The sequence below is a fragment of the Homo sapiens genome, chromosome 10 (genome assembly GCF_000001405.40).
Source record: "Homo sapiens chromosome 10, GRCh38.p14 Primary Assembly".
Taxonomy (NCBI): domain Eukaryota; kingdom Metazoa; phylum Chordata; class Mammalia; order Primates; family Hominidae; genus Homo; species Homo sapiens.
Window position 1 is genome coordinate 122,877,709 of NC_000010.11, and position 25,385 is coordinate 122,903,093.

The 25,385-nt window shown below is 38.2% G+C and overlaps 1 protein-coding gene, 1 long non-coding RNA gene and 1 pseudogene across 5 annotated transcripts in view, besides 1 other annotated feature; 1 reads left to right on the plus strand and 2 right to left on the minus strand.

Moving 5' to 3' along the window:
* The window catches only part of FAM24B-CUZD1 (FAM24B-CUZD1 readthrough), a 47,487-nt gene extending 45,554 nt beyond the window's left edge, over positions 1–1,933 (minus strand). The window contains exon 1 of the long non-coding RNA NR_037915.1: positions 1,777–1,933. This is a non-coding gene — a long non-coding RNA (FAM24B-CUZD1 readthrough). The remainder of the gene's footprint in view (positions 1–1,776) is intronic.
* The window catches only part of FAM24B (family with sequence similarity 24 member B), a 30,564-nt gene extending 28,631 nt beyond the window's left edge, over positions 1–1,933 (minus strand). For 2 of the 3 annotated variants that reach the window (NR_037911.1, NM_001204364.1), the window contains exon 1: positions 1,777–1,933. The gene's annotated coding sequence lies outside the window, so the exon portion shown is untranslated. The remainder of the gene's footprint in view (positions 1–1,776) is intronic. The other variant, NM_152644.3, reaches the window with a different exon arrangement.
* Positions 1,925–21,006, plus strand: C10orf88B (C10orf88B (pseudogene); annotated as a pseudogene). Its single transcript, NR_027282.1, has 6 exons — positions 1,925–2,371; positions 2,967–3,048; positions 3,890–3,959; positions 7,009–7,144; positions 10,561–11,015; positions 20,085–21,006. The product of NR_027282.1 is annotated as a C10orf88B (pseudogene) (transcript).
* Positions 7,085–7,215: a silencer, noted in NCBI's record as "fragment chr10:124644309-124644439 (GRCh37/hg19 assembly coordinates)". NCBI's record gives its function as "represses an EF-1alpha promoter that drives an FKBP-Casp9 reporter gene in an ReSE screen in phorbol 12-myristate 13-acetate-treated (for megakaryocytic differentiation) K562 erythroleukemia cells {active_cell/tissue: K562(+PMA)}" and the evidence as "EXISTENCE:reporter gene assay evidence [ECO:0000049][PMID:32094911]".
* Positions 21,007–25,385: the final 4,379 nt, after the last annotated feature.

Here is a 25,385-nt window from a genome sequence, read left to right on the forward strand (position 1 = left end):
AAGCCCAAGAATAATCAAGGCAAGACTGGGGATGGATTAGCTCAGATCTCTTTCACTGTCATAATTTTCTCACTAACTTTTGCAAAGTTTTTTCAGCTTTGAAAATAAGATTGAATTTGCCAGTTTCACCTCTTTCTACTCCTGTTATACTGTGATAGAGTTCCCAAACAACCCCTATTGCTATCTCTATCAATTCCATACAACAAACCTATACTCAATCTCTACTAGGCACAAAACAATTCCTATTTTCAACAACTGTACAGATGGTTGGGAAAACAAATGTGAGAATTATTTGGTAAAGCTCCATACCAGAAGAGAATTATAGTATCTAAAAACTCTAAGTGTAGCAGAGAGAAATTACTGACAAATTCTCTCACAGTGTGGAGGGCTGTGCTTGGCACTAAATGATGAACAGGATTTTTCCTATCCAAAAGAAGGGGCATTCTAGGTAGAGGGAAAAGCATGTACAAAAGCTGGGGGGTCTAGGAGGCAGGCAGAAGTCAAGGATAAAGGGCTTTGTATGCCTGTTAAGAAGTAATGGTGGCCAGGTGCGGTGGCTCACGCTTGTAATCCCAGCACTTTTGGGAGCCGAGGCGGGCGGATCACTTGAAGCCAGGAGTTTGAGACCAGCCTGGCCAACATGGCAAAACCCTGTCTCTCCTAAAAATACAAAAATTAGCTGGGCCTGGTGGTGCACGCCTGTAGTCCCAGCTACTCAGAAGGCTGAGGCAGGAGAATCGCTTGAACCCAAGAGGCGGAAGTTGCAGGAGCCGAGATCACACCACTGTACTCCAGCCTGGGTGACAGACTGAAACTCCATCTCAAAAGAAAAAAAAAAGTAATGGTGATGGTGATTCAGTCAGAAAGCATCAAGCATCAGGACAATTGATAAAAGATTAGAGGGCAGTGCAGAAAATGAAACGCAGGTGAGGAGATAATGACTATCAACCAGTAAAGAAACTCCTGGAATTGTTCCGATGAAAGCTAGTATTTCAAAACAGAGAGGCAGAGATGGAGAAAGACAGGGAAGTTTTTCTTTAAAAACCAAAAATAAAACAAGACTGGGTGATAATACTGAACATACGAGATTGAAAGAAAGGGGAGACGACAAAATGCTGTAGGCTTTCTGCCTTATTTAAGGAAGTCAAAATCCAGCTTATAGTATTGATCTTGCTCATGAAGTTTCAGATAGGTAATTCTAAAAAGCCTATTTTCCTTTAGACTGTCCAATTATGATGACATGTATCAAAGTTAACTTATGACTACAATGGGCTGGGCATAAAGAACAGGAAGTCTGGTGTACACAACTTAGAATGCATCTGGAGTACAAAAGGAAGAAAGAGGCAAGATCTACTTCCTATTCCATGGGGCATCTGGAAAACTCCCTCAGGCGACCGCTCCATCCAAACACCTGGGATCTTTCTCAACCTTCTGATTTCTGTCACGAGGGCATCCAGCATAGTCCTGGCAACGCCGTAGGATCAGGGAGCATCAAATGAGATGGCACCTGGGGAAGGCCCGTGTGGCCCAGCGTCCACCACTAACGCCGTTCAATATCTACCTCAACTCCCCTCTAACGCGAGAATGTGTATGAGAGAGGCAGGGAGAGTTCGGAGTAAAATTAACCCGAATGGACAGCGCTTCCGCCGCGTTCGCTGCCACAAATGCTGCAGACCCGACGGAGTGGAGGCAGAAAAGGCCCTGGCGTCCACTCGGGAAAGAACGAGGTCAGGAGTCGGTCCTGCACATCGCGTAGAGCGAAGAGACGACACCTACCTGACCATAGACGCTCCCCATCCGCCCAGCAACCGTGGTCCATGCTGCCTGCGTCCACCGCCAGCGTCGAAAAACCGCCGTGGTGCCCGCGCACAGTGCACCGCGCCTGCGCATGGTCTCCAAAGGCTGAGCGAGGGCCTGCCAGTGCGCATGCTCCGCTCTTTAGCGCTTCCTGAGCAAAGTTTGAACGCCTCTCGAGTCCAGTTGGCTTATGCGCATGCGTTTCTCTGGTGCAGGTTCTCACCAAATCCAGAAGCGGCGGGCATTTGAAATGATGTAAGCCGGGAGTCGCTCTGCCTGCCCGTTTCTGCGCTGCACTGGCCGACACTTAAGCACTGGAAGAGAGGCCTGGCAGGAGGCGGCGCAGTGGACACGCGGTCCGAGGACGGGGGCCTCACCCGCCGCCCCACGCTTGCCTCTTCCTGGGATGCCGCAGGCGGGGCCCTAACTCACAGCCTCCTCACCCGGGCTCGTGTCTGCGCCCGCGACTTCGACTGGGAGGAGCTTCTGGCGCCACCTGCGCCACGGTGCGCCGGGCCGCCGGCGACCGGGTCGCTGCGCTCGGCGACTGCCGCGCTCCTCGGGGAACGTGAGGGTCTGAGTCCGGGATCCAGGAGAGCAGTTGGTGTCGGGTCTCTGCGGGGGAGCGGGGCTGCGAGGTGGAGGCGAGGACCGGGGTGGGCGGAGGCGGGGTAGGTCTGGCCGGGAAGTACCCGAGGCCCCGAGGCATGAGCGGGGGAAGGTGACCAGGACTTGGAATTTCATAAACGTCCCCGTCAGGCGTGACGGGTCGTCAGGGCTGCTATCAAAGTCAGTCCGCCCATCTACCCTCAAACAAGCCACCTCCTCTCCACCAAAACAGGCTGTGTAAAAAGTCCAGCTATAGACGACCGCCGTCGACTTAATTTCGAAAAAGATACACTTTGTCTTCTATTGTGTTCTGCTCCTACTCCTGTGCACACAGTAGGTGTCCAGTAATGTATCCGAGAATCAATTGCAGGGGACTGAGTAGAACGTTGATGATTGAGGAAAAAATAGAGGGGGAAGCCCTGATGTGTGATGCCTCCATTTCCTTATGAATTCTGTGTTGAGCATTTGTTAGAATAAACCTCATGGCCTAACAAGTGGGTTTTGAGCCATGTTCAGAAACTATACTGTGTGATGTTTTCACCTGTTTTCTTCTCAGCCAGAATCTGGTGATTTAGAAGAGAAGATTGAACAACCAAGATGAAAACCCCTGCTTCCTTTACCTGAGGTGTGGCCCTGATGGAGGTGAAGAAATCGCTTCTATTGGCATTTTAAGTTCAGCAAGAAATATGGAAGTGTACTTAGGAGAGGAGTACTGTGGAACCAGTAGGGGCAAGAATGTTTGTACTGTCTTGGATGACAGTTGTGTGACTTGTACACGGGAAAGTGTTCTCCTGAATTGGTGTCTTTATTCTGTTCACCTTTTGCAATATTGATTGACTCTCTGACATTGATGTTTACATTAGAGAAGAGAAGATAAAAACCTACTATGGCATAGAAGGTTAGACCATTAAAGCATCTTCTAGGCAATCTAGTTCAGCTTCCTCATTTTTAGGAATGCAGAAATTTAGAGCTAATAAAGGAGAGGTGAGCCTGGAGAGGGTCATACTAGTTAAAGTGTCCAGGCAAGAGTGCAGTCCTTATTGCTGCTTCTTGACTCTCTCCATAAACTCACAATGGTCTGTTTTCCAGAAATTAATTTGACAGTCAGTCTGAAACTTTGATCACATATTTTTTAAGGAACCTACAAGCCCAAGGTGGTGCCACACCAGCCTATTTAGTCCATATTCAATGTGTTATAGTTTGATCTTTTCCCTAGTCCCTTATAGGAACATTCTACACTAATCGCGCCTTAATATAAATCAAAACGTCAACTATTTTACATATTGTGCATATTGGAAATAATAAATACACGACACAGGGTTATTGACCAGGTCACTTGAGAAGGGATCTCAACTGTTTGTCCCCTACCAGGCAAACTGAATCTCAGGATTTAAGTAATGGCCTGGAAACAATTTTTTTTTACTGCAGCTGTTTAAACTGATAATTTATATAAGTGAAAAAATAATTTTTATTCTATTTTCAGTAAACGCGAAATTATTTTCTACAAAAATTACTTAATATTGGCATCCTCCACTCATGCCTGTAAAATAAAGGTAGGTCATCACTAAATTTTAACTAATTTGACAATTGCAAATGTATGTATAATATACTTATGTACTGTTGGTTTGTTCATACAGTTAGTCCAACTTAGTCCTTGTTTATCTTTATATGAAACTATGGTGCCAAGAAAACCACGTTTTGTCCCCATTATGTTTAAAAAGACAAGAATTAGAGAAGTTGCAGAGAAAAGCACCTAAAAGCTATTTGGACTGGTACCCTGAATATGAAAAATATTGTTGAGGTGAACTTTAGTGATGTCATCAGAGTTAAGAGTACTGAGCTACAAATAGCCCAAGGTATTAATGCAGTTCTGTTAGTTACTGCCTGAGTGACCTTGGGAAAATCTCTACATTTCTTTGGACCTACCTCATGGGTAAATTAGAAGACTAAAGAAAATAAAGCATTGTATTCTTTTTGTCTCCACATTATACAGGGTTGTGAGACTTACTTTAAGGAAAAAGTTGGCCGGGCATGGTGGCTCATGCCTGTAATCCTAGCACTTTGGGAGGCCGAGGCAGGGTGATCCCTTGAGCCCAGGAGTTTGAGACCAGCCTGGGTGGCATAAGGAGACTCTGTCTCAAAAAAGAGAAAAAAATAAAAAGAATAAGGAAAAAGTTAATGATTTTTATAGCAGGCAAGTAACAAACTTACAGATCAGATTGTTCCAAGACATTGTTTTAGGTAGTATATATTAATCGCTTCCAAAGTCATTTAAATAAAGTGATTTATTCAACAAATATTTGAGTGCCTACTGATACCAGATACAGACTGTAGTAGGCATTTAGGAAGCAGCAGTAATAAAATGGAGCAACTACCCTTGTGTTGCTTATATTCAAATGGGATGAGACAGGTAATGAGCACACTCTGAATAAAATTGTGTTTTGTTTGGTGGTGAGAAAGGCTATAAGGATTAAGAAGCAGAAAGGGGATAAGAGAGAGGATGAGAGGCGACTGTTTAAATTTAACAGTGTTTTCTTAATTGTGAAGGATGGTCACATCTTTGGTGCCATGGGTCTGAATTGACCTGTGTCTTTGGGTTACATATGGTTCTGTGTGTCTCTCTGAAGATGAGTATTTTTTGTAACTATTCTATGGAAGTATATGTGAGTGCAAAGGGTCATTTCATTTAGGAAAATCCCAAGCCTACTAAAGCTTATTCTGAGGCAGCAGAATATGAAAGTTACAAAAATAGTTACTGATGAATATTTTCAAATACTTACTCATTGGAAATTTTAGCACATAATCCCAACCACCATGTGAAATCACTGATATGATCCTCCCTCATGTTAATTCTGATTTGTGTTTTGGCATTTGTCCAGGATCATACAGGCTATACAGAGCAGACTCATAACTGAACTCTGGTTTATCTCATTCTAAATCCTGTTTCCTTTCCATTTTGATACTGTTTTTGGTGCCACACATGAAATGTCTTTTGGTTCATAAACATGAATGAAGAGAGGCAGCATAAAGCATTGGAGAGGGCACTGTTATAACAGCCAGGAGAGCTAGGTTCTAAGCCTGACTTTTACTAATTGGGTAATCCTTTGACAAGTTAGAAAATTACCTCTAACTTCATCTTTTTAAATGTGTAAACCAGTGGGTTACGTGAGACCATCTTGACCCTGCCTTATAATTCTAAATGGCTCATTTATATTTAGTAATTCAGTAAACACTTTGGATGGGCTTCTGAACACCCTTATTTTGTATTAAAGAATATTATAGTAAGCAGCTGTGTGTTAAAGTCTCAGATTGGCATAGTCTATTCTGAGTTGCTTAAATAAATGAAACTTTAATTTTACCTTCTTTCATATATTTAGTATATTTTTTTAGTTTGAAAATGACATTGTCTTATATAAATTGTTCTTCTGAGTTTCATAATAAATTGAAACCTCTGACCATTACTGTATTAGGGAAAACTTGAAAATATATTTAAAGTTTATATTTGTTTTCCTGAATACTTTACTCTTGTTGATAATACAAAGGAGTGACCTTAAATAGTGAATATTGTTTAATATTATTATTTATTTTCCTGAACTTTGTATTGTAATAGTTGCGCTCCTTTGGTGAAAGACAGTGTGTGTTCATCAGTAAAGTTGTGATACACATGAGAGCAGTTTCAGCAAATTATTCAACAGGCTCTCCTGCTGTAAAATCAAGAATAGAACTAGACAGGATCCAAACCATAATGGAGTCCATGGGGTCAAAGTTATCTCCTGGAGCTCAGCAATTGATTAATATGGTTAGGTTTCAGCAGTGGGTAAGTAGAAATGGATGACTTTCCAGATACCATTAAAAATTATAAGTAATGGCTTTTTATAAATACATGTAGTGATGTAAATTTTTTCTTTGAAATTTTGTAATTGATTTAACTGTTATCTTTATTTACTTGTGTAAAAAATAACATTTCATAGACTTGCCCTCCTACAAAATATTTTGACTACAAATCTTCACACTTTTTCATGAATTCATTCACACATTCATTCAGCAAGTATTTATTAAGCACCTTCTTAGTGAACAAGGCACTAGTTTGGGTACATTTCATGATGCAAAGATATCAGTTTATAATTTGTCTTTAAGGATTTACATTCTAGGACATATAAATGGGGAGGGATGAAGAAGATTAGGAAAGGCTCACTAAAGGAAGTGGTATTTTTATCTAGGCCTTTAAAGGACAGGATTAGGCAAGTAAATTTGGAAGAAGGCCAATTCAGACAAAAAATAGGCTGAATAAAATCTTCAATGCTAAAAGAATTGGATGTAGCTGAGAAATGAGTAGTAGTTCATTTCTCTGAAGCAGAAGGGGAATAGGGGAAGTTTAAAGTAGATTTCAGCTAGGTCATAGTGAGAGCTTTGAATGCTACTTCACTTATTTTTTGAGATGGAATCTCGCTCTGTTGCTCAGGCTGGAGTGCAGTGGCACGACCACGGCTCACTGAAACCTCTGCCTCCCAAGTTCAAGCGATTCTCCCACCTCAGCCTCCCTAGTAGTTGGGATTACAGGTGCCTGCCACCACACCTGGCTAATTTTTTTTGTATTTTTAGTAAAGACGGGGTTTCACCATGTTGGCCAGGCTGGTCTCAAACTCCAGACTTCAAGTGATCCACCCGCATTGGCCTCCCAAAGTGCTAAGATTACAGCATGAGCCACCACACCCTGTCTGAGTGCTACTTTAAATTTGTAAGTATTTCCACTGTCATGTGTAAGGTAAATCAAAAGAAAGTGAGACTACAAGGAGAAGACCAGCTACACGTTATTCCCCTCATCCAGATGAGCGAGAATGAGGGTCTAAGATTGAACATAGTAACATGATGCTGTATGGTGAAATGCTAAAACAATGGAGCTGTTGGGACTTTACAACTAACTTAATATTGGTGTTGTGGGAGAAAAATAGAGTCAAATGTGAAATTGAGGCTTTAAGGATGGCAATACAAATAATCTAAATTCAACCCAAGGAAGGAGGATGCTTGGGGGGAAGAAAAGTTTAGTTTTTGGAATATTGAGTTTTAGCTGTGAATAAAACATTCCCTGGGAGGATGTTGCAAACATCTGAAAACAGAGGATTAGGAGAAATGGAATGAACCTTAAGTGGCTGGAAGGGAAGTTTAGAGGTGTATCCACAGTAGCTGATGGAGTGTGGTGAAGAGAGGGACTGAAGCAAGGAAGAAAGATCCTTGGAGAATAGCTGCATTTGTACAGATACAGGGAGAGGAAAAAGGAACCAGAAATGTAGAAGGTAGCAGAGGGATAGAGTAGCAAGAGAAAGGATTTGATGTCAGGTAAAATTACCTCAAGCTCTTGTCCTGTCTCCTCTTAGTTCTGCATCCTTTGGGCAAGTTGATTCATTTTTTTTTTTTAACACAAATTCTTCATGTGCAAAATCTAAATCTAAGTGGTAACACTGTAACAATCACAGGATTGATGTAAAAATTTAAAATAAATAACGCAAGTAAAGAACTCCTTGTAGATGTGTGGCCTACAGATATTAATGTAGTGCCGCTATTACCATGTGGGCTGAGTTAAGAGAACAAGGAGAGCTGAAGTTATGGAAAAGACGGAAGAGTTCCAAAAAAGATGGAAATGTGTACTTTTCTTCCTCCCACACCGTGATCTCACCTGGATACCTCAGGAGGTTCCTAACTGGTCCTCCAGCTCTGCTAAAATCCATTCTCCACAGTGCACTCAGAATGGCCTCAAAGTTCTCATCCTGTATAAGACTTTCTCACTGCTTCCCATCACACTTAGAATTAATCTTGATTCCTGACCCTGATCTCTAAGGTGTAGGCCCTTCTTGCCTCCTCAACCTCATCTCCTGCCATGTTTCCTTGGGCAGCTTGCTCCAGACATTCTGATGTATGCATTCTATAAATATCCAAATGTGTTTCTACCTCAGGACCTTTACACTTACAACTGTTTTCTTTCCCTAAATCTTGGCATAACTGACTTTGTCCTATCAGATTTTGGCTTAAATGTTACAGCCTTAATGAGATCTTCCCTAACCACCCAGTTTTAAGTAGGCTTTCCCTCCAAATCTATATCATGTTTTCTTCGGAGCCCTCTTGACTATTTTTACTGTTGTTTATGTATTGGTCTGTTTATCTCATTAAAATAAGCTTTATGCAATAGACACCTGGTCTTTCTTGTTTATGGTATGGAATATATGTACGATAAATGTGCCCTTTGGATTATCAATTAAGGACTCCTTGGAGATCTTCGGGGGGTCAGTTTGAATAGTGATGAGGTGGAAATCAGATTTTCAGGGATTTGATAGTAAATGGGTTTTTGGAATGTGGAGGTACCCAGGGTAACATGGGTTTATTTCAAGAAAGAGATAAGGAACTTCAAGAATCTCTTGAAATGTTTATAAAATGCAGATTCTTGGCCCTCACCAGTGCCCTGAATCCTAGGGAGTGGGATCCAGGAATCAGTATTTTAAACAAGCATCTCCAGATGAGTCTTATGCATAGTGTATTACGAATATAAACTCTATCTGTCTAGAGTTTTCTACGCATATAGAAGCAAGTTCCTTCCAGTCAGTAGATTGTGTTGTAACCAATTCCCACCCCCTGTTCCCCCCAGCACACACTCTAAATCATTACATCTGGAGACATTTGGGGAACACCCTGGAGAAGAAATAAAGTTAATTCTTCCTTTAAACATGCTAATAAAAGACTTACTTCCTAGTAAGAAAGTTCTTATTTATGGAGTTAACAAACCAGACATCTATATATTGTCTCCCTAGAAAATGTCATATAAGCTTTGTAACTATCTGAGCATAAAATGGGGATGTTTCATGACTAAAACAACTCCTGTGTAATGGTGTAACCATACACATTGTCTAGGCAGGGTCTGTCCTGGAGAAAGGAAGCACCTGGGGACCTGTGTTGGAAGTCTCAGCCCCTCAGCTTTACTTCTGAATTGAGATTACTTGCTTTCTTGAAAGTTTTACTAAAGTTTAGTACTCTGAGTCATGTAAGTCTGAAATGGTCATCTGTGTGATATCTTGATAAATATAAAGGTTCTTATTTCCTTGTGTTTGAAGTTTAGATTGCTGGCTTTGTTTTTGCTTCACAATTTAGAATATTGAGTAGGAATTCCATATCAAAGTGTGTAGTATACTGTTGTCATTTAATATTATCTGAATGAAAGAATGGTGCACCCCATTTTCTCAAAATATATTCCATTATGATTTATACTGTTTACTTTTTCCCCTTCCAAATAAAAATAACTTTTTCTTGTTTTTTCAAAATGATATATGAATGTTTTATAAGTAAAACTTATTTCATAAATCCCATAAGATATTCAGAGATAAAACACTTGATTTTTCAGAAATGTCACTTATATGAAATTACATGTATGCAATATATGAAGTTATGTATACACACATATATAGTTCTTTACATGTTCATATATATTGACACAATTCTGCATAAATATTTTTCATGTTCCTTTATGCTGCTCTATAGTCATTTTCCTCTAACATGAGATGGGCCACATTCTAAGCAAGAAGTATATCCCTATGTCATTTTTAATGACTATATACTATGTCACTTTATGAGTATTTTGTACTTATTTAATCACTGCTAGATTAGTGAGTATTTAGGCTCCTCAAATTTTTTGGTATTATGATTAGCACTGCTAAGCAGAAACTTCTAAGAAAATTGTCAATTCTTGTGACTCAGTTGAGAGTACTGCATTTTATTACTGCAAATTAAAGAAGTCTTTGTAGTGGAAACATTGAAATACGCCAATGCCATTTTACTAACCATTCTATATTTATTTTAATATATTTTTAGAAAAAACTACAGTTAAATGATTAAAAGCCCCAACTGTGGGGTTAAGTGGCCTGAGTTCATGTTGCAGTTCTGCCACTTACTGGGTGTGTTACTTTGGCCAGGCCACCTTTAGCCTTGGTCTCCTCAATTTAATTTAATATAAAGTGATAGTAATATTACCCTACTTCATAAGGATGTTTTGTGGATTAGATGAAATAGTGCACAGTGCCTGACTCATACTCCAAAAGTTAGCTGTTAATTACTCTAAAAGGTAGCTGACAAGATTACTAATATTAACATTTACTTATTTATCTTGTTTAGAATTGTATTCCTATTGAAGAGCAGCTTCAGTTGGTGTTGGGCAATGCTGGATACAAGCAAATGACTGGACTACAATGCTCATCTGCCTTAGGAGCCTTAGACAAGTCATCCTCCACACCTTTCCCTTTTAGAACTGGATTGACATCTGGAAACGTGACTGAAAACTTACAAGCGTACATTGATAAAAGCACACAGGCATCTAGTGGAGAGAATTCTACAAAGCTTGATGAGTGTAAAATTGTGCCACAAAACCATTCCCTTCTTGAAAATGATCTTAAAAATGCAACATCCCCTTTCTTACCAAAGAAAGCAAATGACAACTCAAATATACCTAACTCTGAGTTGCTGCCTTTTCTCCAGAATTTATGTAGTCAAGTTAACTATCTCCTTGTGGGACGTAAGGCCGAGTGACAGGAAAACACCACCAAGCCTGATGAAGGCATTCTTGGTGTTGGGTAAGTATTGTTTTAACACAGATGTAGTTTTGATTTGGTAGGTGGGAGAATTAGATGAAGAGAAAAAGAAGCAGATTTGTCTCAATGAGTACTGCCTAAAATCTGTTTCAATAGAAAATTCTAGCAGCTTTTTTTTTTTTTACAGCTTACTATTAATATACTCGTAGGTAATAACTATTCTACAGAGAATAGATTGTTTTGAAAGAAGTGCCTGTGCCTGTAACTGGAGGTGTTGCACACTTGCCAGGCATTTTGTGAGTTACAAGCATAGCTAATGGTTGAAGTTGAAAGTGATCCATACGAATGGAGAGCAGCTGTGGGAACCATAATATGTATATTTTTTTTCCTGATGGTACCAAATGAGCCATCATAACAGATTTTCTTTGTAAATCACATTTGACCTAGGCTAATTTTGAAGTCATCAAAAAATGTATTAACATTCTAATTATTTATAGCATATAGGCCCTTATACCCTGGTCTCATAATTCCAAGTTTGTGACAGTCCTGATTTGATTGAGGAATGGCTGAGTATTTAGTATGTTCCCCATTCTTTACATAGATATAGCGTGCTGAAATATTGCACTAGGCTAGAATTCAGGACTCAGTCAGAGACCTGGCTTAACTATTTTGCCTTACTGGTTAAATCTTTTGATTTTTTTTTTCAATGTGTAAAGTTAGATATTTGTATTGGTTGAGATTTGTTTAAGGTTTCCAACAGTGTTAAAGTTTTAAGAATTTAATTTATTTAAATAAAGGTGGTTCTTAGGATATAGAAAGATAACATTAGTGTTCAATAATTGGCGGTCTACATCAATGATAATTACTTGTTATATGAGATGGCATAGTCTTCAATTGTTGATAGTCTGTATCAATGATAACTAGTTGTTATGTGTAATGGCAAAAAAAAAATCAAAAGACTATACAGTATACAGGGATTCAAAAACTGCTTGGGACACTTCTGGGTCCAGCTGAGATAGAACATTGCCATTCCTCTCAGATCCTCATTTTACAAATAAAAATCCTTGGACATAGCACAACGAAGAAACATACAAGGACTGTTAAAGGTAGAAAGAAGTCAGACTCTTAGGGACTGTGGGATTTGAGGAGCAATGCAATGTTGAGTTTTTCTGCCTTCCATATATCTTGGATGGGGTGCCAAAGAAGTCTGCAACCTGGGACAACCAGTGGGGACAAAAATTAAGAGCTTCAAGAAAAGCCTATTCCTTCTAACCAAAGGACCAGGAAAAGGGAGTCCTAACAAAACAAAACCTTTCAATAATACTTGTCTACTCCAGTCAAACACCAATGGAAATACTGCCCTCCTGCCTGCCCTGTTGAATGAGGCAGTTGTACTCTGGTTTCTCTACTGGGGTGGTATCAGCAAGCTAAATGGTGAGCTGTTCTTCCATCTCTCAGTCAGAAGAAGTGGGCAGCATTCCAATTCTGCTACTGGGTGGTATCAACAGAGCCGAGTAGAAGCTAAACTTCCAGCCCCTGCTCAGCTGAAACAAGCAGTACTTCAGTTCTACCAGGGTGATGTCACCACTGCCCCACAAAATCAGACGATACTTTAATTTTCTAGCTGGGGTGTTATAAGGAGAGGAAGGGAGAGTTTGGAGCTGAAAAAATATCTGAAGAAATAATGGTTGAAGTTTCCCCAAAGCTGAAATGGGGAAAGGCGTGAACTCACAGATTCAAGAAGCTGAGTAAGTCCTACACAGGATAAATTCAAATACGTCTATGCCAAGTCATATCATAATTTTTTGAAAATGAAAAAATAAAAAATAAATTCTAAAAGAAAGCTGGAGAGAAACAACATATTCTCATAGAGAAATACCAAGTTTGTTGACAGCTGATTTCTCATCTGAAATTATGGTGGCCAATAAGAAGAGGCACATTTTTCAAGTGCTGTAAAAGAACTGTGAGTCACAAATTGTATATCCAGCAAAAATATCCGTTAGGAACAAACAGCAAGTAAAGACAGTCTCAAATAAATGAAAACAGATTATTTTGCACTGGCAGGCCTACCCTTAAAGAATGGATAAAGCAAGTTATCCAAGGAAATGATGACAAAAGAATGCTTAGAACTTCAGAAAGGAAGAAAGATCAATGGAATGGATAAAAACAGAGGTAAATATGACAGGCTATCCTTCTCATAAGTCTCTTAAATCATATTTGATGGTTGAAGTAAAAGTTATAACACCATATGATGTGGTACTTAATATATGTAGAGGAAGTATCTAAGATAATTATATTTTAATAATTACTATAAATATAAATGGCTAGATTCACCAATTAAAAGAAATGTATAGAATGGGTTATAAAATACAACCCAACTATATGCAGTTGACAAAACACACTTTTCAAATATAATGACGTAGGTAGGTCAAAAGTAGGAAGATATGCCATGAAAACATTAATTTTTTAAAAAGCAGAAGTCGTATATTAGTATCAGGTGAAGCAGGCTTCAGAGCAAAGAAATTCACTAGATAAAAAGAGGGACATTACATAATAATAAAAAGACAATGACATAGTGATCCTAAATGGGTATGCAGTAAACAGAGGTTCAAACTACATGAAGCAGAAAACTGATAGATACAAAAGGATCAATGGACATAACCATAATTATAGTTGAATACCTAACACCCCACGCTCAGTTATTGATAGAACTGTTAGACAAAATTATAGGAAAGATATAGAACTGAATAGCACACTATCAGTCATCAGGATCTATTTGACATTTGTAAAACACTCCATTTCAGCCATTTCGAAAGTTAATGTAATCTACCATTTCAGCGGACTAGAAGAAAATTCATATGACTATATAAATTAACACAGAAAAGTATTTTTAAAATTCTAACACCAATCTATGATGAAAGAAACTCAGAAAACTAGAAATTGAGAGGAGCTGCCTCAACTTCATAAAGGATATCTACAAGAAACCTATAGCTAACATAATACTTAATGGTGAAAGACTGAATGCGTCCCTCCTAAGTGAAAAATAAGGCAAGGATGTCCTTTCCCACCACTGGGTTTATTTTGTTTTTGTTTTTGTTTTTGTTTTTTTTTTGAGACAGAGTCTTGCTCTGTCGCCCAGGCTGGAGTGCGATGGCATGATCTCGGCTCACTGCAAGCTCTGCCTCCTGGGTTCATGCCATTTTCCTGCCTCAGTCTCCTGAGTAGCTGGGACTACAGGTGCCCGCCACCATGCCTGGCTAATTTTTTTGTATTTTTAGTAGAGACAGGGTTTCACCATGTTAGGCAGGATGGTCTTGATCTCCTGACCTCGTGATCCACCTGCCTCAGCCTCCCAAATTGCTGGAATTACAGTCATGAGCCACCGTACCCAGCCGTCACCACTCTTACTCAACATAGTACTGGAAGTTATAGCCACTGCAGTAAGACAACAAAAATTAAATATAGATTGCAATGAAAGAAAACTGTCCTTATTTACAGATGACAAGATGGTCTATGTAGAATATCCCAAGGAATATTTTTTTAAAAAAGGTTTAGAACTGATAAATGAGTTCAGCAAAAGTCACAGGATGAAAGATCAAAATTAGTTGCTTATCTATATTCAGTTGGCCCTCCATATCCATGGCTTTTGCATCATGGATTAAACCCACTGTGGATCAGAAATAGAGAAAAAATAATTGTGTCTGTGCTGAACATGTAGACTTTTTTCCTGTCCTTATTGTCTAAGTAATACAGTATAACAAGTATTTACATAGAATTTACTTTTATTAAGTATTGTCATCTTATATAAGGGACTTAAGCATCTGCAGATTTTGGTATCCACAAGGGTGGGTTTGGGGAGGGAGGTCCTGGAACCAGTCTCCCACAAATACTGAGGCTTAACTGTACAAATGATGATGTGTGGAAACCAAAATTAAAAACAATTTCTTTTTATAACTCACCTGTCAACAATGAATTATTAAATTAAATGTTGGCTTCCTAGTAGAAAATTGTAAGAATAAAAGTAAGCTTTTCAACTTAAAAGAGACACACTCACTATACTATTTATAGTTGCTCCAAAGAAAACTAAATACTTAGGTATGAATCTAACAAAACATGTACAGGATATATATGCTGAAAATTGTAAAATGCTGATGAAAGAAATCGGAGAAGATCTAATTGAGGGACATACCCTGTTTATGGCTTGGTGACTCAACATAGTAAAATTGTTAGTTCTCCCTATTGATATGCAGGCTTAATGTAATTTGTATCAAAATCCCACCAAGACTTTTTGTAGACAAAAACAAGGCTTTTTAAAATTATATGAGAAGGCAAAAGTAGTAGAATGGCTAAAACAACTTGTTTTTCTTTTTTCTTTTCTTTTTTTTTTTTTTTTTGAGATGGAGTCTTGCTCTGTCACCCAGACTGGAGTGCAATGGTGCAATCTCGGCTTCCTGCAACCTCCACCTCCTGGGTTCAAGCAATTCTCATGCCTTAGCCTCCCGAGTAGCTGGGACTATAGGCGCCCGCCACAACGCCTGACTATTTTTTGCATTTTTTGTAGAGATGGGGTTTCACCATGTTGGCCAGGCTGGTCTTGAATTCCTGGCCTCAAGTAATCCGCCTGCCTTGGCCTCCCAAAGTACTGGGATTAAACGCTCAGCCTAAAACAACTTTCAAAAAAAGAATTAAATGATTGGGAATCACTCTTCCCAGTGTAGAGTATCCAATACTGTTTAGTATTATGTGGGGATTGAAATATAAATCAATGGAACATAATAGAGGGCCAGAAATAGACCCTCACAAATATGCTCAATTGATTTTTGATAAAGGTGCAAAACTGGCCAGGGGTGGTGGCTCACACCTATAATCCCAGCACTTTGGGAGGCCAAGGCGGGCAGATCACTTGAGCCTAGCATTTCAAGACTACTCTGGGCAACATGGCAAAGCCCTGTCTCTACAAAAAAATATGAAAATTAGCCAGGCATGGCGGCGCATGCCTGTAGTCCCAGCTATTTGGGAAGCTGAGGTGGGAGGATCACTTGAGCCCAAGAAGTCGAGGCTGTGGTGAGCTGAGATCGTACCACTGCCCTTCAGCCTCAGCAACAGAGTGAGAGTCTGTTACAAAAAAAAGGAGTGGGGGGGTGGTGCAGAAAGGATAGCACTTTCCAAAAATGGTGCTAGAGCAATTAGATATCCAAATTCTTTCACCTAAACTTCACATCCAACACAAAAATTAACTCAACATGGGTCATAGATTTAAATGATCTTTTGGATGGAAACTGGAGAAAATCTTTAGCAACTAAGAATTGCAGAAAAGTACTTAAACATGACACCAAAAGTACAATCGATAAAATAAAATTAATAAATTTGACTTCATTAAAGATAAAAAATTCTGCCCTCTGACTCAGTTAAGAGGATGAAAATACAAGCTACAGATGGGAGAATATATTATTTGCAAACCTAGGTATGACAGATGACTCATACCTAGGATATATTAAGAACTCTCAAAACTCAACAGTTAAAAAAAAATCAATTTAGAACATGGGCGAGACAGGAGATATTTCACCAAAGAGAATATGCAAACAGCATATGAACATGAAAAGATATTCAACATTACTATCCATTAGGAAATTCAAAATAAGACCGTGATGAGATATCGCAGCACACCTATTTGAACAGCTAAAATAAAAGCTCAGGTGGCAGGACAAGTGGCAGTGTGCAGGCAGTCCAGCAGCCCAGCTTCATGAAGGCTCATGGTGCACTTCAGCCCTCAGGCACCAGAGGAAGCTCAGCCCAGCTGAAGGGGCAGTGAAGGAAGGGCCCAAGAGGAGGCCCATGAGGTTGTCAGATAAACCTGCTCCAGCAAAAGTGAAAACAAAACCAAAAGAGGCAGCAAGGAAGAATCATCCTCAGACAAAAAAAGTGCAAATAAAAGGGAAAAGGGGAGCAAAGGGAAAGCAGATTCAAAGTGGATAAACAAGAAACTAAAGATTTAAAGATTTACCTGCAGAAAACAGACAGACCGAAAATGAGAAGAGTCCAGCATCTGATGAAGCAGGAAAGAAAGAAGCCACGTCTGATTCATGTCCGGTACCATGTCTTATCAGTGGTCCCTGTCTCCCTTCTTGTTACTAGTTTGTAACTACACTTTTTTTTTTTCAAGTTACTAGTTTGTAACTACACTTTTTTTAGTAGCTCTAGGAAACATTGAAAAGGAGGGAATACCACCTTATCCCACTTTTTAAAGTGTAAATGCTCTTTTTTTTTTTTTTTTTTTTTTTTTGAGACAGAGTCTCACTGTGTTGGCCCAGGTTGGAGTGCAGTGGGGCAATCTCGGCTCCCTGCAACTTCTGCCTCTCAGGTTCAAGGGATTCTTGTAGCTGGGATTACAGACACCTGCCACCACATCCAGCTAGTTTTTGTATTTTTAGTAGAGATGGGGTTTCATCATGTTGGCCAGGCTGGTCTCGAACTCCTGAGCTCAAGTGACCCCCCTGCCTCAGCCTCCCAAAGTGCTGGGATTACAAGCATGAACCACTGTGCCTGGCCTAAATGCTCTTTTTAAGAGGAGAAATCACTTTCTGGTTGTATTTTTGGTAAAACCAGAAAATAGTGGGATATTGAATTATGGGAAGATTTGACTTTTTTGAGTGTTAGCTTAACATTCCATGAGGGTGTAGGTTGTATCTTATAATACAAGGCATAATTGACAATTTGAATCACAGTTGTGTATTTAATATGTCTTGATCATTTTAACTTCTATTCCTATGTTTTTTAGCAGAATTGTTTACTAAAAACTACTCCTCGATCTTGCCTGTCCCTGTCAGAATCATGTGTACTCTGTAGTGTCTTTGGTCATGTAGTAGTCCAGTTTTCTTAATAACTTTGTTAATGTGTTGTGAAAGACTGAAAATCTGACTATGTTATATATATAATATTAAATTGTGAATTGGTGGGACTTTATAACAGCTTACAACATTTAACAATATGGGCACTTAATATCCTCAAGGAAATTTTGTCTCTAAATTTTAAGCTAAAAAGTCACTGAAATAACTTCAAAAAAGAATGACGATGCATGGCTTTTTAGGTTTTCAGTACGTACATTTGAGATGTGCAGAAATTGAAATGTCTGTGTAGTGATCCTCAACACAACCAATACAATCTCCATTATGAAAGAAAAAAAATCTGAGAATGCCCAATGCTAGCAAAGATGCAGAGAAACTAGATCTTTCATACATTGCTAGTGAGAATGTAAAATGTACAGCCACTCTGGAAAACAGTGCCAGTTTCTCAAAAAACTAAACATACACTTACCATACAAGCCAGCAATCATACTCCTTAGCATGGTATCCCACAGAAATGGAAACTTATGGATGTATCACCCTTTAACACACAGCTAATATAGGGCATTTTACTTATTTCCAGTTTTGGGCTTTACGTTAAAGCTGCTATGAACAATTACATACATGAGATTTCTGTGTGAATGTAAGAACATGGAATACACTCATAAAAAAATGTGAACTATTGAAACATCCAACAACTTGGATGAATCTCAAGTGAACTATGACAAGTGGAAAACAAATCAAAAGATTACATACTATAGTATCCAACATATATGACATTCTCAAAATAAAATAGAAATGGAGAACATCATGGCTGCCGTGGAATAAGGATGATAGGGAAAAGAGGGGTGACTGTGATGGTAAAGGGTTAGCACAAGGATAATCTTTGTGGCTAAGGAATAGTTCTCTGTCTTGATTGTAATGGTAGTTACATGAATCTACACATGTGAAGTAGAACTATATGCATACATTGTACCAATGTCAATTCCTAGTTTTAATATTGTACCATAGCTATGTAAGATGTAACCATTGAGATCATTGGTGAAGGGTACTGGATAACTCTCCACAGTATCTTTGCAACTTTTGGTGAATCTATAATTTTGTATTTCAATTTTTTTAATTTAATAATTTTTAACCTGCTTGGCAATTTCTAGAGTTGTAGTTCTCAAATGTTTTCATCTCAGGATCTCTAATCTCAAAAATGAAGAACTCAAAGAATATCTGTTTATATAGACTATATTAAAATTTGTATTTATTTTTAAATAGTAATTATTTGCATATACATATAAACAGTAGCTTTTATTAAAAACAATCTTGTTTTCAAAAAATCAGTGAAAAGAATGACATTGTATTAAATTTACACAAATCTGTATTAACTTGCTCATGTCTGCTTCTGCATTATAGTACATATAGTCCAATATAGCATAAAAGCACAGTATAACTACTCAAAACAAACTGAATTATCTTTTAAAAAGCAAATATTTATACCCTAAACCTAGTACCTTAGGAAATTCTAGAAAACACAAAAATATACTGTCACACATTTGATTAATCATTATATCAATAACAGGTTGTTTAGCCTCTGGAAAATACCACAGTGCATTCATGAGAGAATGAGGGTGAAAAAGGCATATATTACCTCCTTGTTACTACAAAAACACTTTGTCCTCCTGGAACCTTTAAAAGGATTCTATAGTGTTCTATGAACCATACTCTAAGAATCACTGCCCTAGAGTGCAATATGAGTTTTGTTTTAGAAACTGGTGTGCTTTTTTTTTTTAATCTTTAATTTGCCCATTCCAGTTAAATTCTTCCTCAGTTTCACATTAGGTTAGCAAAGAACTTTCTAGTACTTTAGTAAGGTTTGTATGAAAGAAAGAAGACAAAACTGTTTAAATTGTAGGGTTGCTTGGGGAAGTACTTGGAAAATATACATGTTGACCTTAAAATAAATTCGGCAAGATCAGTTTTGATTTGGAGCTCCATATCAAAAAGACCCTTTCTAAGGACTTGGTCTTTAAGGAATCATCTTCACTTTTATATTCCCATTTCAATTGTATATTTAGTAAATGTTTAAAGAAATAAGTATGTGTTCATGACTGCGGTCATCTGTTGTGGATGTATATTAGAACCTGGAAATACACTGTAAGAAGACAGCACAGTTTATAAAGACACATTTCAGCAATATATGTTGGCTGCTTGTTGTATAGTTCAGTTGTTTTGTTAAAATATTAAAGAAAATTGATATATTTTTAAAATGTATTTCCAGAATGGAAGAGCAGCCTGTTTGCTCCTACTTGGAATAGATTCTTTCTAAAAATATGGAACTGATAGAAAAGAAACTTATAGACTACATTGATCAGCGAATATATAAACTCCAGGAGCACATTGATGATAAGATTGCTTTGTTGATTGATTTGCTGCAAAATCCCAACTCCCCGCCCAGTAGGCTGCCTCTAAGACATTATGACTCTGGAGAAGGACTTTCAAATGGAGAAAGATGAGCTCTCAACATAAACAGTGTACTGCAGATATTTGTTACATATTTATTACAAAGCCAAAACCCAAAAATATTTATAAAAAGCAAGGATTTAATGTCCTTTTAAGGATCATCATCTTACTTACTGAAGTGACCTCAGTGTTCATTATTACTACACTTGTACTGTATACTAAGACTTAACATGATACAGTATTTTATTTTTGCTAGTAATATTTTTCACTCATAAGTGTATATGTACTTCTGTGTTATATGTTCTAAATGTTTAAGGAGTTCTAATATAATTCATTAGTTGATATAGTATATGTTTGATTGAAGTACTGTTTTAATTTATATGAAGACCTTATTTTATAGTTTCAGGGATATAAAAGGAATGCTTAGAGTATTTGATTTTTTTTTCCTAATTGACTCTTAGAAAACTGGGTACTTAACCTGGAACCTTTATTTTAGATCACCAACTTGAATTTTATATTGTTTATTTCAGATAAAAAATTAGATGTGATGTTTGGCATGTGTAAAATCAGTTCACATTGGGGCCATTAATTGTACATTCTGTCACATTGTAACAGTAGATAAGAAAGTGATTATCAGAACTGGTCTATTCCTTGTTAGGATTGTTACTTTGGATTTAGTGTATGATGTAAAATGGGAGAACTGATCTCATTTTATCTCAATAAACCCAGAAAGTGTAAGGAAGTCTGTTTTGTTTGTTGTTGGGTTTTTTTAATTTTTTTGAGCTGATGTAGATTCTTCTTTCCAAACCCTTTCCTGACACATTTAAAGTGTGAAATGCCGAGGCTCCCCACTGAAGGATTAAGGTATATGAATCAAGGAGATTGCAGTTCTCTCTGGCAGACTTCATTTTCAGAGATTGTAACTGTTTTGTGTGTGTTGAAGAGTGATATATTTGCATCCAAAAAATAAATGCATCCACCCTGGAAACTACTTGTCTGAAATAAATAGAAACATTGTCTTTTTATCTAATATTTGTTACGTTTTGGGGTTTTTTAGATTCAGGGGGTACATATGCAGGTTTGTTACATGGGTATACTACATGATACTGAGACTGGCTTCTAGTGATCCCATCACCCAAGTAGTGAACATAGGACCTGATAGGTAGTTTTTTCAACCCTCCCCTCTCTCCCATCCTCCCCCTTTTGGAATCCCTAGTGTTTACTGTTCGCATCTTTGTGAAGATATTTATTTTTGTGTAAAAGGATGTCTTACTCTCATTTAGTATTTTGGTGAATTTACTTCTTTTACATGAGAACTAACATATAATGTTTGTTCATTTATGACTCTCACTCGGACCTCAGTGATGTGAGAAAGTGTATGTTATTTTTATCAGACTCATCCTAATTTTTTTTTTTTTTTTTTGAGACTGAGTCTCGCTCTGTTGTCCAGGCTGGAATGCAGTGGTGTGATCTTGGCTCACTGCAACCTCCGCCTTCCGGGTTCAAGCGATTCTCCTGCCTCAGCCTCCTGAGTAACTGGGACTACAGGCACGTGCCACCACACCCGCCTAATTTTTTGTATTTTTAGTACAGATGGGGTTTCACTGTGTTAGCCAGGATGGCATCCTAATTTTCTTATAACATATGTAGCCATGAGGAAGCAGTTCCTTCAGCATTTGGGAGAAATGTGTCTCAGTTAAGGATGAATGAACTCTTTAGTGTCTGATAGTTGCAGTCTGTTTTTTGATTCACAAAATGCTCCAATATAATTATAACTAGAACACATAAGCTATATTTTATAAAATAATTAAAATAGTCATGGTTGTAGTACTAAAAATAATTCCAATGAGTTTTAATTCCTGATCTTCAATTTCTTGATTTTTACAGGTTAATGAAGACCTAAATTATATTTTATTTATATTAGAAATTCATAGATGTTGATTTTCTTGTGTTTATATAAGTGCTATACATATTTATATGTAATTGCTTTGCTAAAATTATTAGTCCTAAGAAAACTCTGCCTGAATTTGCTCAACTAGGCAAAGTAGAGCACAGCACTTAAAAATTTTTATTCAGTCTTTTTTTCTTATAACTTTTCTCTATTTGTGTGTGCCACACCCAATAAGCCAAGTCTGGATGCTGGGAAGTTAGGACTGACAAATGCACCTTCAAAAGTGTCAAGGTAACCACTGCAGTTTGAAATGGCTGAAAAGGATGTGTGGGTGATCAAGAAATTAAATCAAGACACAGTGTATGATTTTAATTTCTGCATTGCCTCCCCCTTGAGTATGATTCTATCTTCCTCTTCCCCACAAGTGTCATACTGAGGCTTTCACCACTGGATTTTCAGTCTACTTGATACAGGGCAGAGATTGAGTTTGCATGCTGCTGCCATATAACTCATCTTAAAGTATGGCTGATAAGATCTGTCCCAACTGTAGAGACTATAATTTGAGGCTCTTCATCACTGAGCTCCTGCCTGGCTTTCCAGTCTCATCATCATTACCGCATGGCCTGCTGTTTCACTCGCCCTTTTTCCCCATGTCTCCTTGGGCTCTTGGCTCCAGCAGAGGTGACTCCTCCTCCCCTAATTCCCTACCCTTGTCACACTAAAGCTCAGCTCAGATGCAACTTTCATGAGGTAACCGTTGGTCCCTCCCTTCCCCAGTAAGTACATGAGCAAGCAGCTGGACAGATGAAACATGGAGAAACAATACCTAGAGCTCTTTTTGGAGATGTAAAACAGTTTAAATTGACTGAAGCATAAGATGCACATTGGGCAGCACCTGGGGCAAGGCTTGAAAAGGTTGCCTGGGTCCAGCTTGGGAAAATCTTGATGGCTGCACTCTAGAGATTTGCTGGCACCAAGAAGTAAGTGGTTTAAGCAGGAGAGTGACATGGTCAGCTCTGGGCCTTGGAAAGAAAACCAGAGTAGAACACTCCCCAGTACCAGCCTGGAGCCCTACCGGGGTTTCATGTTGTGTGGCTAGACCCAGATGAGCAATAACAATCACTCCAGTTCAGCTCTCAGGAAGCCGCCTCTCTAGGAGAAGGAGGAGAGTACTACCTCAAGGGATCACCCCAGGGGACAAAAGAATCTGAACAGCAGCGCTTGAGCCCCAGATTTTTCCTCTGACATAGTCTACCTAAATGAGAAGGAAACAGAAAAACAATTCTGGTAATATGACAAAGCAAGGTTCTTTAACACTCCCAGAAGATCACACTAGCCCACCAGCAATGGGTCCAAACCAAGAAGAAATCTGAATTGCCAGAAAAAGAATTCAGAAGGTTGATTATTAAACGACTCAAAGGGGCACCAGAGAAAGGTGAAAACCAACTTAAAGAAATTAAAAAATAATAATAATATAGGATATGGACCAAAAAGAATCCCCAAAGAAATAGCATAAATTAAAACAATCATAACTTCTGCAAATGAAAGACACACTTAGAGAAATGCAAAATACACTGTAAAGTTTCAATAATAAAATCGAACAAGTAGAAGAAAGAACTTCAGAGCTCAAAGAAAAGGCTTTCAAATTAACCCAGTTTGACAAAAACAGAGAAGAACGAATTCTTTTAAAAAATGAACAAAACCTCCAAGAAGTTTGGGATTATGTTAAATGACCAAACCTAAGAATAATTTGTGCTCCCAAGGAAGAAGAGAAATCTAAAAGTTTGGAAAACTTATTTGAGGGAATAATCAAGAAAAATTTCATTGGCCTTGCTGGAGATCTAGACATCCAAATACAAAAAGCTCAAAGAACACCCAGGAAAGTCATCACGAAAAGACTATCACCTAGGCATATAGTCATCACGTTATCTAAAGTCAAGAAGGAAAGAAGCTTAAGAGCTACGAGGCAAAAGCATCAGGTAACCTATAAAAGAAAACCCATTAACAGCAGATTTCTCAGCAGAAACCCTGCAAGGGATTGGGGTTCTACCTTTAGTCTCCTTAAACAAGACAACTATCAGCAAAGAATTTTGTATCCAGCAAAACTAAGCTTCATAAATGAGGGAAAGATAAGGTCTTTTTCAGACAAACAAATGCTGAGAGAATTTGCCACTGCCAAGCCAGCACTACAAAAACTGCTAAAAGGAGTTCTAAATCTTGAAACAAAACCTCGAAATGCACCAAAATAGAACCTCCTTAAAGCATAAAATCTCACAGGGCCTATAAAGCAATTACACAGTGAAAAAAAAGGTATTCGGGTAACAACTAGCATGATGAATAGACTACTACCTCACATCTCAATACTAACATTGAATGTAAATGGCCTAAATGTTCCATGTAAAAGATACAGAATGGCAGAAGGGATGAGAATTCATCAACCAAGTATCTTATGTCTTCAAGAGACTCACCTAACACATAAGGACTCACATAACCTTGAGGTAAAGGGATGGAGAAAGATGTTCCATGCAAGTGGACACCAAAAGCAAGCCAGAGTAGCTATTCTTACATCAGACAAAACAGGCTTTAAAGCAACAACAGTTATAAAAGACAAACAGAGACATTATATAATAAAAGGATTAGTCCAACAGGTAAATATCACAATCCTAAATATATATGTGCCTAACACTGGAAGTCCCAAACTTATAAAACGATTATTACTAGACCTAAAAAATGAGATAGACAGCAACACAATAATAGTAGAAGATTTCAACACCCTACTGACAGCACTAAACAGGTCATCAAGACAGAAAGTCAACAAAGAAACAATGGACTTAAACTATACCCTAGAACAAATGGACTTAACAGATATTTACAGAACATTCTACCCAACAACTTCAGAATATACATTCTGTTCATCAGCACATGGAACATTCTCCAAGACAGACCAGATAACAGGCCACAAAACAAGCCTCAATAAATTTAAGAAAATCGAAATTATGTCAAGTACTCTTTCAGACCACAGTGGAATAAAGTTGGAAATCAACTCCAAAAGGAATCCACAAAACCATGCAAATACATAGAAATTAAATAATCTGCTCCTGAACAATCTTTGGGTCAACAGTGAAATCAGGATGGAAATTTAAAAATGCTTTGATCTGAATGATAATAGTGACACAACCTGTCAACACTTCTGGGGTACAGCAAAAGCAGTGCTAAGAGGAAAGTTCA